This window comes from Homo sapiens, chromosome 8 (genome assembly GCF_000001405.40).
Source record: "Homo sapiens chromosome 8, GRCh38.p14 Primary Assembly".
Taxonomy (NCBI): domain Eukaryota; kingdom Metazoa; phylum Chordata; class Mammalia; order Primates; family Hominidae; genus Homo; species Homo sapiens.
Genome location: NC_000008.11, coordinates 6,389,116 through 6,407,012, shown reverse-complemented (window position 1 = coordinate 6,407,012; position 17,897 = coordinate 6,389,116). Strand labels below are relative to the sequence as shown.

At 42.6% G+C, this 17,897-nt stretch overlaps 1 protein-coding gene and 1 long non-coding RNA gene across 19 annotated transcripts in view, besides 4 other annotated features; one reads left to right on the top strand and one right to left on the bottom strand.

Annotated features, from left to right (window-relative positions):
• Positions 1 to 386, bottom strand: part of MCPH1 (microcephalin 1) — a 241,882-nt gene extending 241,496 nt beyond the window's left edge. For all 18 annotated transcript variants that reach the window (NR_136159.2, NM_001322042.2, NM_024596.5 and 15 more), the window contains exon 1: positions 324 to 386. Coding sequence is in view for 17 of the 18 variants with exons in the window: in NM_001322042.2 (NP_001308971.2) it covers positions 324 to 345 (22 nt within the window). In the remaining variant the exon portion in view is untranslated. The remainder of the gene's footprint in view (positions 1 to 323) is intronic.
• Positions 125 to 304: a silencer, noted in NCBI's record as "silent region_18881". NCBI's record gives its function as "represses an Ori minimal core promoter by ATAC-STARR-seq in GM12878 lymphoblastoid cells {active_cell/tissue: GM12878}" and the evidence as "EXISTENCE:reporter gene assay evidence [ECO:0000049][PMID:35858748]".
• Positions 465 to 3,457, top strand: MCPH1-DT (MCPH1 divergent transcript). Its single transcript, NR_040040.1, has 2 exons — positions 465 to 1,307; positions 1,893 to 3,457. It is a non-coding gene; the product is annotated as an MCPH1 divergent transcript (long non-coding RNA).
• Positions 565 to 644: a silencer, noted in NCBI's record as "silent region_18880". NCBI's record gives its function as "represses an Ori minimal core promoter by ATAC-STARR-seq in GM12878 lymphoblastoid cells {active_cell/tissue: GM12878}" and the evidence as "EXISTENCE:reporter gene assay evidence [ECO:0000049][PMID:35858748]".
• Positions 7,039 to 7,239: a silencer, noted in NCBI's record as "peak6892 fragment used in MPRA reporter construct". NCBI's record gives its function as "represses an SCP1 promoter by STARR-seq MPRAs in K562 erythroleukemia cells {active_cell/tissue: K562}" and the evidence as "EXISTENCE:reporter gene assay evidence [ECO:0000049][PMID:32103011]".
• Positions 15,777 to 16,976: an enhancer, noted in NCBI's record as "BRD4-independent group 4 enhancer chr8:6247558-6248757 (GRCh37/hg19 assembly coordinates)". NCBI's record gives its function as "activates an origin of replication core promoter dependent on BRD2, P300/CBP, MED14 and CDK7 cofactors, and independent of BRD4, by STARR-seq in HCT116 cells {active_cell/tissue: HCT116}" and the evidence as "EXISTENCE:reporter gene assay evidence [ECO:0000049][PMID:35650434]".

Here is a 17,897-nt window from a genome sequence, read left to right as displayed (position 1 = left end):
GAACTAGCAGCACGGGGGTTGGGGCACAAGCAGTACGGGGGAGGAAGCAGGCAGTCGGGGGTTTGGGGGGACAGGGAGCACGGGAGACGAAGCAGGCAGCCGGGGGTTTTGGGGGGACAGGCAGCGGGGGAGAGAGCAGGAGCAGGGGGTTTTGGTGGGACAGGCAGCGGGGGAGGAAGGAGGCGGCAGGGGGTCTGGGGGAGACAGGCAGCGAGGGAGGGGCGAGCGGGGCTCCTCCCACGGGATCCCCCGAGTGCGCCCGCGACGAGGGGTGCCGGTCCTCAAACTCCCGCTGCTGGAGCAGGCAGCAGGAAGTACCTCACCTTTCAGGATGGGGGCCGCCATGACAGACGGCGGGATCCGGCCAGCTGGCCTACGCGGTGCTTGCGAGCCTGGCGGCGCGCGCGGGCACTGGGCATGCGCGGGGTGAGCGCGCCGCCGTCACCGCGCTCCGCTGAATCCGCGTTTCCGGGATTTCTCTGTAGGTGAGGCGGGAGGCTGGAGGGAGCTGAGCCCCCGGGGAGGGGGCCCGATTCCGCCTCGCCGCGCCTCTGGCTGCTGGGCCGTGGGTTTTTCTCTTCTCCTGGGAGTAAGGAGGACGACGGCCCCTAACCCCTGAATTAGCCTTCTATTTCCATTAGTGACTTAGAAGCTACCCGGCGCCTCATCTGGGCTCACCTGAGCTGAGGATCAGGAAGGGGAGGGGGCACAGTCATTCCCTCGCGGACGCGGCGGGACCCCAGCGGACGGCTTTGTGCGGACTTTCGGCACCGTTATGCCCCCCTAGCCCGACACCACCTGGGGCTGGCGCGCCACGTTACTGTTCAGGGCCAGACGCACCGCCCTGCCTGCTCCGGGGAGCCGGACCTCCGATCCCGGGGATGGGGGACCCCGAGACCTCAGACCCAACGGAGGGGACTCTGATACCTCAGACCCCACGCGGGGACCCCGAGGCTTCAGACCCCCACAGGGTGACCCCGAGATCTCAGACCCCCGCAGGAGTACCTCCAGACCTCAAATCCCCAGTAAGGGAATGAAAGAGACTTCGGATCCCTGAGGCAGCAAATCCCTGTAGGGGCATCCCAGGACTCAGGTCACCGCGGGGTGAACCCAGACCTCACATTCAGGCAATCCCCAGGACGCCGATCGGCTGGCACTACCCACTGTCCCGGCCACCCCCCCTGGAGCTCAAAGGCTTGGCCCTCCAGCTGCTCCACCCTGCCGGCAACCAGGCTCAAACCTGCAGCCCGCGGATCCCCTGCCCCGGAAGCAACCAGATTCGCGGGAGGTTACCTGACTGATCCAAGGTGATACAGCTGGTAACTGATGGAGATGTTGGTAGTGAAATTCATGTACTTTTAGTTCTTTCTATGGAATCTAGAGGTAGAATACATGTAAAAGAATATCGACTACCGTCTACTCAGGTCTCTGTTTTATCTGTTTATTCATTCACTCTCAGCTTTTAATAGGATCCAATGAGCCCTCTGTGGTTCTGAAGAATTGCCTTGAGTATATGCAGCCTCAAAAAACCCACTTCCTAGGCTCAGTCTTTGATCAATATTTATCATTATCACCAGTTATTGTTCTAATAAACTCTACTCTGGAAATATGGTGTTATGGTTTACTTGGGAGTGTGAGTTCAGGGCATCATTGAAGACTCACGTACTTTTACTGAGAAAGTGACATTGATCTCTGTAGATTTTGAATTAAATGATATGATGAAGTATATAAACCAATTACTTTTGGTCAAGGTGGTAAAAAAAGTTTAGTATTTGATAGATTCTTCATCTCCACGATCACAAATATTTTCTCCTAGGATTTCTTCTAGAAATATTACTGCTTTAGGTTGTATATCAGGTCTAGGTTCTACTTTTTTTTTTTTTTTTCTCCAGGCAGTTTCTCACTCCGTTGCCCAGGCTGGAATGCAGTGGTGTAATCACAGCTCACTGCAGCCTCAACCTACTGGACTCAAAGGATAAGATCTGCTTTTAATTAATTTTTGTATACGGTATGGGATAGGGACCAAAGTTCATTTTTTTGCATGTATACATATCCAAATGTTCCAGCATCATTTATTAAAAAGTTATTTTTGTCTCTACTGCATTTCCTTTGTGCTTACATCAAAATCTGTGTTGCATATGTATGTGTTTCATTTTAGGCTTCCTATTGTGTTCCATTGAGCTATTTGTCTTTTTGCTGCCAGCACCATGCTGTTTTGATTATTGTAGCTATATAAATAAGTGATGAAATCAGATAGTTTATGTCCTACAACTTTATTTTTCAAGGTTATTTTGTATCTTCTAGATTCTTCAGATTTCCTTTTAAATCTTAGAGTCGACTTCTCATTTTGCACAAAAAAATACTGCTGGGATTTTGATTGAGATTGTGTTGACTCTACAGATGAATTTGGGGAGAATTGACATTTTAACCATATTGAATCTTCTGACCCATTAACATTTAGGTCTTTTAAAATTTCTCTGGCCAGACGCAGTGGCTCACGCCTGCCACTTTGGGAGGCCAAGGCGGGCCGATCACAAGGTCAGGAGATTGAGACCATCCTGGCTAACACAGTGAAACCCCATCTCTACTAAAAATACAAAAAATTAGCCGGGCGTGGTGGCATGCGCCTGTAGCCCCAGCTACTTGGAAGGCTGAGGCAGGAGAATGGCATGAACCCGGGAGACAGAGCTTGCAGTGAGCAGAGATCTTGCCACTGCACTCCACCTGGGGCAACAGAGCGAGACTCCATCTCAAAAAAAAAAAATATAACTGTTGTTAGATTTTAACCTAAGTATTTGTTTTTTTATTTTGTTTTTCTTTTTTTCTTCTTTTTTTTTTTTTTTTTTTTTTGAGACAGGATCTCACTCTGTCTCCCAGGCTGAAGTGCAATGGTGTGATCATGGCTCATCTTGAAGCCTCGACCCTCCTGGGATCAAGCTATCCTCCCACCTCAACCTCCTGAGTAGCTGGGACTACAAGTACACATGACCATGCCCAATTCATTTTTTAAATTCTTTGTAGAGGCGGAGTCCCACTATGTTGCCCAGGCTGGTCTTGAACTCCTGGGCTCAAGCAATCCTCCCACCTCAGCTTCCCAAAGTGTAGGGATTACAGGCATGAGCCACTGTGCAAGGTCTTGTGTTTTTTGATAATATCGTAAATGGTGATTTTTTCATTTGTTTCTGATTGTTGCTAATATATGGAAATATAGTTGATATCTGCAATTGATCTCATGTCCTGAAAACTTGCTAAATCTGCTTAATAATTTTTTGTACATTCAAAATGATGTTCTACAGGTAGTCGTATTGTCTATGTTGGAAGGAAAGCTTTTCCTCATTCAATGTCGGTCCTGTGTTTGAAGACCTGCAAATTAACTGATAACAACAGGTTAACAGGAGAAAAGACAAGGTTTAGAGTAACTCACTAAATAGAAATAAAGGTTTATAGATCCACTTAACAAAATGTGTTGGGAGATTTTGGAGTTTCAGTAGGAAGTTGTGGAAGGTTCTTTTGGGCTTTTGGATGCTTATGAGAATGGGCAATCTGTCTCTACAGTAGTGGAATTTACAGGAAACTTCCTCAGAGGGAGGCCAATGGCAGCTGTATTTTCTGGGGGCTCTGCTTTAGTGAAATAAGGGAAGTTCAAATAAAATTTCTTGATGCGTCTTTCTTAGATCAAATATTTTCACAGTAAAATAATCTTTATACCAACTTTTAGGGCCTGAATGGTCCACACATTTCTCCATCTGAAACTTCCCTAGAAATTTCATTAACAAAAAAAAGAAGCTAAGTTGATTGCTGTGGGGAGATGATTTGAGTTAGAAATTGTAAGATGAGAGATCTGTAAAAGGGGGAAAAACATAGATTAGAACAAGGAAACAAAAACAATGATTAATGTTCAGAGCAGACGATAAACCCAGTCTAGAGGGTAAGCCAGTTATGAAATTTTCTAGATGTTGGGCTCCAGCTATCTTTAGTGAGGATGGTAGTGGTAGGTAGTGTTGCCATCATGGTTATTTCCTAGAGCACAGTCTGGAAGATGCAGGTGTTCTGGGGAAATATTTGAAAGACCCACGTGTTGTGATAAGTCTTTTGAAGTTTCTGTCTAGCCATCCAGCTTCAGCTTGCAAGGCTTTGAGAAGGAATCAGTTTTAGTTCTCAGTGACGTCAAGTCAGTAGAGTGGGAGGAAAATTGGAAATACTGATTACTGACAAAATATGTAAGATGGCAGGATCCAGGTTTTGTTTTGTTTTTTGTTTTGTTTGTTTGTTTTTGAGACTGAGTATCACTCTTGTTGCCCAGGCTGGAATGCAGTGGTGCAATCTCGGCTCACTGCAACCTCCACCTCCCAGATTCAAGCGATTCTCCTGCCTCAGCCTCCCAAGTAGCTGGGATTGTGGGCTAATTTTGTATTTGTAGTAGAGATGGGGTTTCTCCATGTTGGTCATGGCTGGTCTCGAACTCCCGACCTCAGGTGATTCCCCGGCCTCGGCCTCCCAGAGTGCTGGGATTACGGGCGTGAGCCACCGTGCCTGACCGGCAGGATCCAGCTTTTAAAGAGGTAAAAAAATTGCTCAAAGACAATGAACAAGACTAGAGTCTGATAACTCACACAACTGGGTTATAGTTTGCCATTGAAACATAAAATTTCTCTGTATAATTACTACCACTGAGATCAAAGATAAACAAAGTAAGATTACTCTTGTTTACAAAATAAGTCTTGTCTCATTAAATTTGGCCTGATCATTTACATAAGTCCAGCAAGAATGATAATTGACCACAGGAGCCTTTTTAGGTTTGCTTGGCTGGAACTTTTATAAGGAATCTCAGATTAGAGTTTTAAGACTACACCTACACAGCCAGGCGTGGTGGGTCACGCCTGTAATCCCAGCACTTTGGGAGGCTGAGGCGGGTGGATCACAAGGTCAGGAGTTCAAGACCATCCTGCCTAACCCGGTGAAACCCCGTCTTTACTAAAAATACAAAAAAATTAGCCGGGCGTAGTGGCGGGTGCCTGTAGTCCCAGCTACTCGGGAGGCTGAGGCAGGAGAATGGCATGAACCTGGGCGGCAGAGTTTGCAGTGAACCGAGATTGCACCACTGCATTCCAGCCTGGGGGACAGAGTGAGACTCCATCTCAAAAAAAAAAAAAAAAAAAAAAAAAAAAGACTACACCTATACTATCTGTAGTTTCAGATAGAGAAATGTGGGGATCCATTCAGACCCTAAAACTGTTGCTCTTCTTGAGGTTTCCAAAACATCTTAAGGCCCTGGGCCTGCGAGTAAGTAACCCATCTTACTCACCTGTAAGCCTGGAACCCTGTAAGTCAGGTAAGGCACCAGGTCAATTATTTCAGCAGAGCTTTGTAAGCATTGGCTCCATCAAGTCAACCTTAGTTTCTTAAAAATGTCTGGTCACGTCTAATTCTGTGCACATCAGTCTCAAATATGACCTTCTAGTCAAAGTCTTGGTAACATAATCAATTTTTCCAAATAATGTCCTTTTTTAAGGAGAACAGATTCTTCTTGAATTTATGCAAACAACTATATTGCCATGAGAATAGGAATATTCAATAAGAATTGACAAATTTTAGAGGAAGCAGGGAGAAAAAGATAAATTTTTCATTTCTACTTATGAAAGTTTATTAAATTGTTATCATTTGTGGATAGCTTAAGAGAAAAGAGAAATCAAAGGATGTATCACAACAGTTTGGGGTTTTCAATTATTTCTCCAGAACACTTGCATCTTCCAGGCTCTGCTCCAGAAAATAACCATGACTCCAACATACCACTACCATCCTCACTAAAGATGGAACCCCACATCTAGAAAACCTCATGACTGGCTTGCCCTCTGGACTTAAAAAAACTGGGTTTATATTCTGCTCTGAACATTAATCATTGTTTTTATTTTGTTTCCTTGTTCTAATCTATGTTTCTTCCCTTATATTCAGGACATAGAACATTCAAGAACCAGCAATGTTTCAAACAAAGGCCATTTAAAAAATCATAACCATTGTTTATCAGTCACCTCAGTTCCATATGATTAATTCTGGCCTTGCTTGATCTTGGATTAGCAGTGTCATGAACCCATCAGCTTTTCAACTAGAGTTCTGGAAATCCTTCCTCAGGGCAGTGGTATGAGATTAAAGTTATTTAAGCAATGTCATCAGAAGCCTGTACCCCACAGTACTGTTACAGGCCTTTCCATGGATCTTAGAGAAACAGTCCTTTTTGTTGAAGATGAAGTATTCTGGCTAATAACTGATCGCTAGAGCTTTCAGGAAAGTACCAGAGTAAAATAATAACTGCGAATGACAAAAAGGCAAAAATGGCCATGGTAAAGATCGGATGAAGGTTTATTTTAATTCTGTTAACAAGGAAAATCAGTTTTTTTGTGGCATACATTTAAAATCATAACTGTAATCATGACTGATAATATTATACCAGGACATATTATGGTTATCAAGGGCATTGACAAATTTCTAGGAACTTTATTCAGTTTCTGAAATAATAACATTTATCCATGCAAATACCACCTAAGGAAGGTTAAGTATCTTTTCTTGACAGTGAGTGCCTCCCGTGCAATTTAACATATTGAATAAACCTAATTAGTTTAACATCTCTCTTTTTACAAAATGAGAGAACAAATATTTTGAGATCTTCTAGGGACCCTTTGGAAAATCTCAAAGTCAGTTCAAAGTTAAAAAAATTTCATTTAGAATTTCATTTGGGGAAGTTGTCAAAAATGCCAAAAGCGTTGAACACTTGATTAAATAGGATCACAGGTCACTGTGAAACAACACTTAATTATCCATTTAATTAAACTGACAATAAAAATAGCCATAGGAGATTCTATGATTGTAAGAAAAAAATAGCTTTTTTTTTAAGGTGAGAAGATTTAGTTGTCTTAAATAATCAAAGACATGATAAAGCACCAGAAATTATTCTAATAAAACACAGTCACTGATTTCTAGGTGGTATTAATGAAAAAAAAATGTTCTTAAAGTTGTTGAAACAGTAAATACTTTTTTTTTTTTTAATTTAAGACAGGAGATTTATTATTACTCAAATCAGTCTCCCCAAGGAGCATCCAGGGATCAGAGTTTTGAAGGATAACTTGCTGGGCCGGGGGCAGCCAGTGAGTCAGGAGTGCTGATTGGTCAGGTTGGAAATGAAATCACAGGGAGTCAAAGCAGTCTTCTTGCGCTGAGTCAGTTACTGGGTGGTGGCCACAAGATCAGATGAGCCCGATTATCCATCTGGGTGGGGCCAGCTGATCCATCAAGTGCAGGGTCTGCAATGTATCTCAAGCGCTGATCTTAGGAGCAGTTTTGGGAGGGTCAGAATCTTCTAGCCTCCAACTGCATGACTCCTAAACCATAGTTTCTAATCTTGTGGCTAATTTATGAGTCCTACAAAGGCAGTCTAGTCCCTAGGCAAGAAGGAGGTTTGTTTTTGGAAAGGACTGTTATTCTCTTGGTTGTAAACTATAAACACTAAGCTAAGTTCCTCCCAAAGTTAGTTCAGCCTATGCCTGGGAAAGAACAAGGACAGCTTGGAGGTTAGAAGCAAGATGGAGTTGGTTAGGTCAGATCTCCTTCACTGTCCCAGTTACAATTTTGCAGTGGCTGTTTCAATCCCTCCCTTTGGTTTTTTTGTTTGTTTGTTTTTGGTGCGATTTTGGCTTACCGCAACCTCCACCTCCCGGGTTCAAGCAATTCTCCTGCCTCAGCCTCCCGAGTACCTGGGACTACAGGCATGCACCACCACGCCTGGCTAATTTGTTGTATTTTTAGTAGAGATGGGGTTTCACCATGTTGGCCAGGCTGGTCTCGAACTCCTGACCTCAAGTGATCCACCTGCCTTGGCCTCCCAAAATGTTGAGATTATAACCATAAGCCACCGCTCCCAGACTCCTTTTGGATTTTATAACACCTTAATCTTAAGGTGTTGGCTAATGAAAATTGAAAAAGGGCGAAGGCTGCTCTAACTTCTTCCTGCCGATCTGAGGCATAGTAGGGGTAGGCGTTAACCCCAAAGTGAGAGAAATGGAACTGCTTTGCAACTGTGTGAGCGTACTCATGCAGGCCTGGCTGGGGTTCCAAGGCTCGCATGGCAAAGGCATTAGTATTAACATCTATAGTTTTAGTACTGCATTTGAGGGAACAGTGACTATCAGGTAGATAATGAATACTAGGGTGAGGAGTGCAATTCCCAGTTTCAAAAGTAAAGATTTGAAAGCATTAGTTTGGGGACTTTTAGCCCACAGAGAATTTAGGATTTAGTCCAAACTGAAGGAAAAATTCAAGAACAGCTAACAAAAGGTGTACTGTAACTTTTGTTTTTTTTTAGATGGAGTGTCACTCTGTTGCCAGGCTGAAGTGTAGTGGCAAGATCTGGGCTCACTGCAACCTCCACCTCGCGGGTTTAAGCAACTCTCCTGCCTCAGTCTCCCAAGTAGCTGGGACTACAGGTGCATGCACACCACCACGCCCAGCTAATTTTTGTATTTTTAGTAGAGATGGGAGTTCTCCATGTTGGCCAGGATGGTATCAATCTCTTGACCTCGTGATCCAACTGCCGTGGCCTCCCAAAGTGCTGGGATTATGGGCATGGGCCACCACGCCCAGCCTATAAGTCTTTTTTAAGTATAATTTTTCTCTTTCCAATCCTCATTTTTTTCTTTTCTTTTTTTTTTTTTTTGAGACAGAGTCTCACTCTGTTGACCAGGCTGGAGTGCAGTGGCGCAATCTCGGCTCACTGCAAGCTCTGCCTCCCGGGTTCACACCATTCTCCTGCCTCAGCCTCCCGAGTAGCTGGGACTACAGGCGCCCGCCACCACGCCCGGTTAATTTTTTGTATTTTTAGTAGAGATGGGGTTTCACCGTTTTAGCCAGGATGGTCTCGATCTGCTGACATCGTGTTCCACCTGCCTCGGCCTCCCAAAGTGCTGGGATTACAGGCGTGAGCTACCGCACCCGGCCCCCCAATCATCATTTTTATTAAAAACAAATAATGATAGGACTGATTGGTTTGCAAAATAAACTTTTATTGTACTTGGCCTGGTTATTTGCATAAAGCACAGCAAAAATAATTATTTTTCATATAGGATTTTTAAATTGGCTTTGATGGAGCTCTGTTCTATAAGGAATCTCAGATAAGACTTTTTAAAAGCTGAGCCCTGCCATGGGTTTATACCGTCAAATACCTATGAGTTAGGTAAATTATTCTTCTCTTGAGGTGCCAAGATAACTTGGGGCTCCTCGGCCTGTTAGAAAGTGCCATTCTTTACTTATCACAGGTCAGAAACCTTATACAGGGACTGTGTAAAGAAAATATGAGGCCAGATTTCCCAAGAGGCTTTTATTGGCTCTGTAAATCAACTTTGATTCCTTAAAGAAAGCATGCCATTCCAGTCAAAGCCTTGGTAAAATAACCAGTTTCTACAATCGTGTCCTGTTACAAAAGAAAACAGATTCTTATCATGCTTATGCAAATGTCTATACTACCATAAATTGAGAATACTCACAAATAGTTCCCAAATTCTGGAGAAGTCAGGTAGAAAGAAATATGCTCCAAATTTTGTTCACAGGAGTATATTTTACCAATTGTTAAAGGCTGTAAATAGCTCAAAAGATAAGTTTTCTTAGTTCTGGATAAGAAAAAGGATCAGCAACATTTTAAGCAAAAAAGTAAAAAAAAAAAAAAAAAGGTTACTTCAGTCTTTTATTAGTTCAGTCCATTCAGTTAACTTTTGTTCTGCTTCATATCCATGAACATTTCAGCTCTCCATGAGAGTCCTGAAAGTTTTTCCCCTTTACACTTGTGTCATCATCATCTCCAAAGTTATCAGAAACTTGCATTCAAGAGTACCTGTCAAAGTTTTATAGCTGATTATAAAACCACCTTCCAAAGTGGATCAAAATGAGACAATTGCCTTGGATGACAAAAATATTTTAGGGCAGCCACAGTTAAAAACACAATTGGGCTGCGTGCAGTGGCTAACGCCTGAAATCCCAGCACTTTGGGAGACTGAGGCAGGCGGGTCACGAGGTCAGGAGATCAAGACCATCCTGGCTAACCCAGTGAAAACCCATCTGTACTAAAAATACAAAAAAATTAGTCGGGCATGGTGGCAGGTGCCTGTAGTCCCAGCTACTTGGGAGGCTGAGGCAGGAAAATGGTGTGAACTCAGGAGGTGGAGCTTGCAGTGAGCCGAGATCACGCCACTGCACTCCAGCCTGGGTGACAGAGCAAGATTCTATCTCAAAAAAAAAAAAAAGAAAAAAAAAATTGACAAGGAAATTTGTTACCTCTGTGACACACAATAATTTAACATAACAATTATAATTATTACTGATAACATATACTGAGGCATATCAAAATTATAGGACTCTTATAATCTTATACAATTTTGTAATACATACTAATAACACATTTATATAAATGTAACCCAAAGAAAATTAAACACTATATTTGACAATGTTTACCGCATGATTTTAGTACTTTAAATAAGCTGAATATGTCTTTTTGGACTTTAGGCAACTTAATTTTTTTTTTAACTTAGAATTTGATCTTGAGAGGTCTGTCAAATATCAAAGGTTTAAAAACACTGGATATCAGAAAATAGAGTCCCAGGTCACTATAAGTTATTCAATAGCCAAAATGATAACTCTAAAATTTTAAAGAAAAACCGTTACTCTGATAAGAGACTTAACTTTCCAAACAACCAGACCCAATGAAGATAGCATGAGTCCCACTGAAGGAAGACTTTATTAAAGACTGTTGAGATAGGGAAGAGAGATTGGGCTCAACTCTGAATTCAGCAAAGACAACTGGGGATTTCTGGCCATTGAACAGAGTGAGAGGTCATTGGATGGAAAATTACAAAAAAGAGACAGCAAGGGTAGGCAGATTCTTACTAGACCAACTGCTGTAGTCTGCATGTTGGTGTCCCCCACAAATTCAGATGTTGAAACCTAACCACCAGTGCAATAGTATTAAGAGGTAGGGTCTCAGTAGTAGTAAGAGGTGGGAAGTGATTAAGTAATGAGGGCTCTGTCCTAATGAATGTGATTTTTGCCCTTAACAAGAAGTTGAGAGAAGTAGTCCTTGTCCCTTCTGCCATGTGAGGACACAGACTTGACCCTTTTCCCTTATAAGGTCACATAGAAGGCACCATCTGTGAAGAACAGGCCTTCACCAGACACTGAATCTGCTGGTGCTTTGCTGTTGGACTTCCTAGCCTCTACAGTTGTGAGAAATAATGTCTGTTGTTTATAAATTTCTCAAACTAACATGTTTTGTTTTAGCAGCTTGTATGGACTTAGATGGAAATTGATAGCAAGAAGTGGGGTGCTGCTGTAAAACAATACCTAAAAATGTAGAAGTGGCTTTGGAATTGTATAATTAGCAGAAGCAGGAAGAACACTGAGGTGCACATTAGAAAAAGCTTGTATTGCTATTGTTGGGTCATAGAAGGCGATTCTCATAAGGCCGAGCGCAGTGGCTCACACCTGTTATCCCAGCACTTTGGGAGGCCGAGGCGGGCAGATCACAAGGTCAGGAGATCGAAACCATCCTGGCTAACACGGTGAAACCCCATCTCTACTAAAAATACAAAAAAATTAGCCAGGCGTGGTGGCAGGTGCCTGTAGTCCCAGCTACTCGGGAGACTGAGACAGGAGAATGACATGAATCCAGGAGGTGGAGCTTGCAGTGAGCCGAGATCGCGCCACAGCACTCCAGCCTAGGTGACAGAGCGAGACTCCGTCTCAAAAAATAAAAAGGCGATTCTCATAAGGGCTCAGAAGAAGAGAACTGTAGAAAAAGCCTCAATCTTCTAAGACATTACTTAAGTGGTTATACTCAGAATGTTGGTAGAAATATGGTCAATAAAGGCAATTCTGATGAGGTATCAGAAATGAGGGGCATGTTATTAGAAACAGGAGGAAAGGCCATCCTTGTTATAAAGTGGCAAAGACCTCAGCTGAATTGTGTTGGGTCCTAATGTTTTGTGAAAGGAGGAACTTAACAAGTAATGAAAGAGGGTATTTGACAGAAGAAATCTTTAAGCAAAGTGCAGCATGGCTTCTCCTGATTGCCTATAGTAAACTGCCAGGAGGGAAACAGATTAAAGACAGAATGTATAATCAATTATTTATATCAATTATGAAGAAAAGCCTCAGTCACTTCACAATGGGGAAACATAGCAGACAGCACCTTTCAAAGGAACCAAACATCACCAGTAAAGGGACAAAGAGTCACCAGCTGCCTCATGATATGAAGCACTGAGAAGCACACATCACTTCTACTTCCAGGGGGTTCCTGCCAAGAATGCAGAACCCAAATGGAATTCCGAGAAATCATCACACAAATCCAAACAGAAGGGCTTTCTACAAAATAACTGGCCTGTATCCTTCAAAAACGTCAAGGTCATGAAAGACAAAGAAATATGAGAAACTGTGGCAGCTTAAGGGAAACTAAAGAGACGTAGCAACTAAGTGCAATGTGTGATTCTGGACTCAATCATGAAACAGAACAAAAAATTAAAAGTATTTTCTTTTTGTTTTTAAATGGAGTCTTGCTCTATCGACGGGCTGGAGTGCAGTGGTGTGATCTCGGCTCACTGCAAGCTCTGTCTCCTGGGTTCACGCCATTCTCCTGCCTCAGCCTCCCGAGTAGCTGGGACTACAGGCGCCTGCCACCACGCCCAGCTAATTTTTTTGTATTTTTTAGTAGAGATGGGGTTTCACCCTGTTAGCCGGGATGGTCTCAATCTCCTGACCTCGTGATCCACCCGCCTCGGCCTCCCAAGTGCTGGGATTACAGGCATGAGCCACTGCGCCCGGCCAAAAGTATTTTCTAGGAGGAATAGTAATGAGACAATTAGCAAAATGTGGAAAATGTCTGTATGTTCAATAGTAGTGTTTTATAAACGTCAGTTCTCTGATTTTGATCATTATAGTGTGGTTACTTACCAGAATGCCTCATTTTAGGATAATACACACTGAGGTATTTAGGGGTAGGTGACATCATGCTTATAACTTCCTCCCAAATATTTTAAGGAAAAATATATGCACACGGACATACATTCATATATGCAATATGATAATGAAGAAGCAATGGTGACATTTGGATCTGGGTGAATGGCTTATGGGAATTCATTTTTGTACTGTTTTGTACATTTTGTACTATTCTTGTGCTTTTGCTATAAGTCTGAAATTCTTTTAAAATAAGAAGGAAATACAATTATGGCAGGAAAATAGCTGACTGGGCCACATTATTAGCCCTAATGGTCCTCACCTCTCAGAGTGGAAGGCAAATACTGGTGACTGTTGAGTCACAGCCTCACGTGTCCAGCACCGTTGTAACCAACTAGACTATGTTTGCTTATGCACATGGCAACAGAAAATAAGGAGTCCAAGAATATGCAACCCAGAAATCAAACTTAACCATTGAATATAGCTGGCTTAGTCGGATCAGGGCTACTATAACAAAATCTAAAATGGGTGGCTTGGCCAGGCATGGTGGCTCATACTTGTAATCCCAGCACTTTGGGAGACCAAGGCAGGCAGATCACCAGGTCAAGACATTGAGACCATTCTGGCCAAAATGGTGAAACCCCATCTCTACTAAAAATAGAAAAATGAGCTGGGCGTGGTGGCGCATGCCTGTAGTCCCGGCTACTTGGGAGTCTGAAGCAGAAGAATCGCCTGAACCTGGGAGGTGGAGGTTGCAGTGAGCTGAGATCGCGCCACCTTCACTGCAGTCTGGTGACAAAGCGAGACTCTGTCTCAAAAAAAAAAAAAAAAAAAAAGTGTGGCTTATAGACAACAGAAATATATTGCTCACAGTCTGGAGGCTGGACGTCCAAGATCAATGTGCTGGCTGATTTGGTGTCTGGTAAAGGTCGCTCTTGACTTCAGAGATGCATCTCCTTGATGTATCTTCATGTGGTGGAAGGAGCTTTGTAGCTCCCTGGGGCCTCCTTTATAAGGGCACTAATCCCACTCATGAGGGTTCATAACCTAATCACCTTCCTAAAGTCCCACCTCCTAGTGCCATCAGTTTGAGAGTTAGGATTTCAATGTATGAGTTTGGGGGCAGGCACAAACATTGAAATCATAGCAACATCTCACCCTATCAATAGAAAGGCAGTTTGCTATCCCATTTAAAAATCATCTCTGTTAATGGTAGGAAGAATTTAGTATAGAAATTCTGATGTCTAGGAAAATACTGTTATCAAATACTATATTAAAAGAAAGGTATTCCATATATAAACTTTGGAAAGCTATTTACTCTGTCCAGAATATAGCCTCAAGTGTAAAGATTCTTTGATTTAGTGCTGTTTTAAGGCAGTTTTAGAGCGGTTGCAAAAAGCTTTGTTAAAAAAATGAAATCTTTAAGACTTGACTAAGCAATAGCATATTGAAAAAGACCTGTCCCTGACACAAGAAAATACTAAATTTAAAGGGTGCTATCATCAAATCCAATCTATTTGTTTCACAGATTCAAGAAATCAGGCTAGCAACTCAGAAAGAGAGCCACTTAAATTAGTTTCCGTTCTAGAACTCGGGCCTCTTGCCATCAGGCCTGATCTGTTCATTTCTCATTTGCTATTCCTTCCATAGATATTTATCGAGCATCTTCTATGCACCAGGAGCCGTCTTAGGCTCCAGATGGTAATGAACCTCTTATCACTTGACTCACTCCCTCTTCATAGGACCAGGACTACCCATCACGAAAGCCTAGGGGCTAAAACTCTCATTATTAAGAACAAAGTGAATTAAAATTAATGAGCTCAAGGAGACCTGATGTTTGCACTAATATGGTCTACTATTTTTTTGTCATAGCATTTCTATTCAAGATTTTTAATCAGATAAATCCATCTAAAAAAAGGATCTCGTAAAGCCTAAAAGAGGGCATCCCTGTTTCTTCATTTTTATTCTTCGCAGAAGGACAAAAGATGAAAGCTATTATTTCTCTACCAACCCTCACCTGCAATAAAAGGGATCTGTACTGGAAAGCCCCTTTAAACACACCCAGGGCAAAGGAAAAGTTGAAAGTATTGACTTTTGTGAAGCCCACACTTCGGCTCAGCAGGCGGAGGCCTTTTCAGAGATTTCTTCCTAACAGCCTGACAACACTTGGACAGGAATCAGGACGCGAACCTCTCTGAAAAGTCCCAGCAAACAAGTCAGATGAAAGGGCCGCACTTCAGAAAGAAAATGCTGGCGCCCTGGAGTCTGAAGTTACCTGCGAATCTTCCCTTCTCCCAGCACAGGGTAAACATTTAGGGCAGCTGTGGATCTGGGTTTCCTAGGAGTTCATGAATTTCAAAGATGAAGCACAGATCATTCAGGTACATTTTCCTTTATGGTATTTCTATAAAACCAAAAAAATTTAAAAGTTGGTGTAGAAAATTGACTATCATTCATTAACAGGAAGCTTTTTCGATTGAAAATACAGTTCTATTGATATTAGAAGCTAAGGTGACTTTTTTCTTGAATAATAATTGCCAAATACCCTTGTCTTTAATGGAAAAAAATTTTTAAAATGCTTTTTACGTTCTACAATGAGATTATTTGACAGGATAGAATAATTAGTATGCTTGCACTCACAAACATGAAATATTTCTAAACATCATGAGTATTTGAACTAAGTGAATGACTGGAAGAGGATGGGAAAGCAGAGGGAATGAAAAACCAAAGAGCCCCAATTATTTGCAAGAAAAATAATGATTTATCTTAGTTTTATGCCTTGGCAATGTTTTTGAGTAATAAAAATGCAACTTTGTGGCTGACTGAAGAATCCAAGATAGTAGAGTTCTTAGGGAATGAACTCAAATATGGCACAGGCAGCAAAACAATGAGAACAGACCTCAGCTGTGTGTGGAGCTGAACCCTGCAGGCCCCCGCTGGGCCCCATGTTAATCCTTCAGTCGCTGGATGCCTGGGAAGCCAGGTGGAAACCAGAAGAAAGGTAGAGATGGGTGGGGCGGCAAATCCTAAGATGGTTCAAGACAGCAGCATCTTCAAGTGACCCAGGAATATTCCAGTATTTTAGCAATAAGCATAGATCTGCCAGTGTGTCCCAGTTTGAATATGGGCCCTGAACAGTGAATTTTTAACACATCTGAGATCATACCACCTATAATTTGGTGCCGTACTTTTTTTTTTTCCAGTTTAACAGTATACTATGAGCATTTTCCCACAATGGTCACTCTCTGTGTTTATTGCTTTGCTTCCAGAAAGAATTGGAGGCAATTTAGCTTTAAATGAGACTAAGAGTGTTGAAGAACAATTGCTTTCGTCCACAGAAAATTCTTCTGAGCAACCTGGTTGATGATGGTGTATTCTCTGTCTCCTGAGGAAGGGACCCTGTCTATTTGGTTCACTGCTGTGTTTGCATATCCTTCCATACACCATGCTGGTGTGTCCAGAATTGGTTCCTTCCAGTGGGTTCTTGGTCTTACTGACTTCAAGAATGAAGCCACGGAACCTCACAATTAGTGTTACAGTTCTTAAAGATGGTGTGTTCGGAGTTTGTTTCTTCAGATGTTCAGATGTGTCTGGAGTTTCTTCCTTCTGGTAGGTTGGTGGTCTTGCTGACTTTAGGAGTGAAGACGCAGACCTTTGCAGTGAGTATTACAGCTCTTAAAGGTGGTGTGTCCAGAGTTCTCCATTCCTCCCAGTGGGTTCTTGGTCTCGCTGACTTCAGGAGTAAAGCTGCAGACCTCTGTGGTGTGTTACAGCTCATAAAGACAGTGCTGATCCAAAGAGTAAAAGAACAAAGCTTCCACAGTGTGGAAGGCAACCCCACTGCATTGCCACTGCTGGCTCCGGTGGCCAGCTTTTATCCCCTTATTTGGCCCCACCCACATCCTGCTGATTGGTCCATTTTACAGAGTGCTAATTGGCCCATTTTACAGAGTGCTGATTGGTCTGTTTTTACAGAGTGTTGATTGGTGTGTTTACACACCTTTAGCTAGACACAGAGCACTGATTGGTGCGTTTACAAACCTTTGGCTAGACACAGAGCGCTGATTGGTGCATTTACAATCCTTTAGCTAGACAGAAAAGTTCCCCAAGTCCCCACCCGTCCCAGAAGCCCAGCAGGCTTCACCTCTTACTGGGGTCATAGGAGGTGGTCAATAAGCACCTGTGGAATAAATGAAGGAAGAGGCACACACATTAAGTGCTGTAAAAAAGATAAGGGGAAAGGGTGCGTTTACATTTTTAAAATTGTAATTACTCAGGTAACTGAAAACAACATTATAAAAAACTAGCATTTAAATTAGAAGCAATTCCCTGGCAATCTGTCTTACATTTTTTAAGATTCCTTGATACTAGAGATATCTGTGATTGAAAAAGCTGCCTGTGGAGTCTCTGACAAGCACCAGCAGTAGAATCACACATTGACTTTGTATTAGTTTGCCAGGAGGTACCATAAGTGGGGGACTCGCGCAATAAGATCTTACTGTTTCTCAGTTCTGGAGGCTAGAAGACCACAATCAAGATGTTGGTGGGTTGCTTCCTTCTAAGGGCTGTGCAGGGAGGATCTGCTCCAGGCCTCTCCTCCAGCTCCTCATGGCTACCAGCAGTCTTTGGTGTTTCTTGGCATGTAGAAGCCTCGCCTTGATCTCTGTCTTCATCTTCACGTGGCATTCTCTCTCTCTCTGTCTATCCGCCTCTCTGTGTGCGTGTGTGTGTTTCCAAATTTCCCCTTCATAGAAGGATACAAGTCATATTGGGTAGGTCCACTCCAGTATCACCTTATCTTAACTAATTACTTCTGCAATAATTCTAGTTCAAAAAAAAAAAATCCACATTCTGAGGTACTGGGAGTTAGGACTTCAACATGTACATTTTTGGGGGGATACAATTCAACCCAT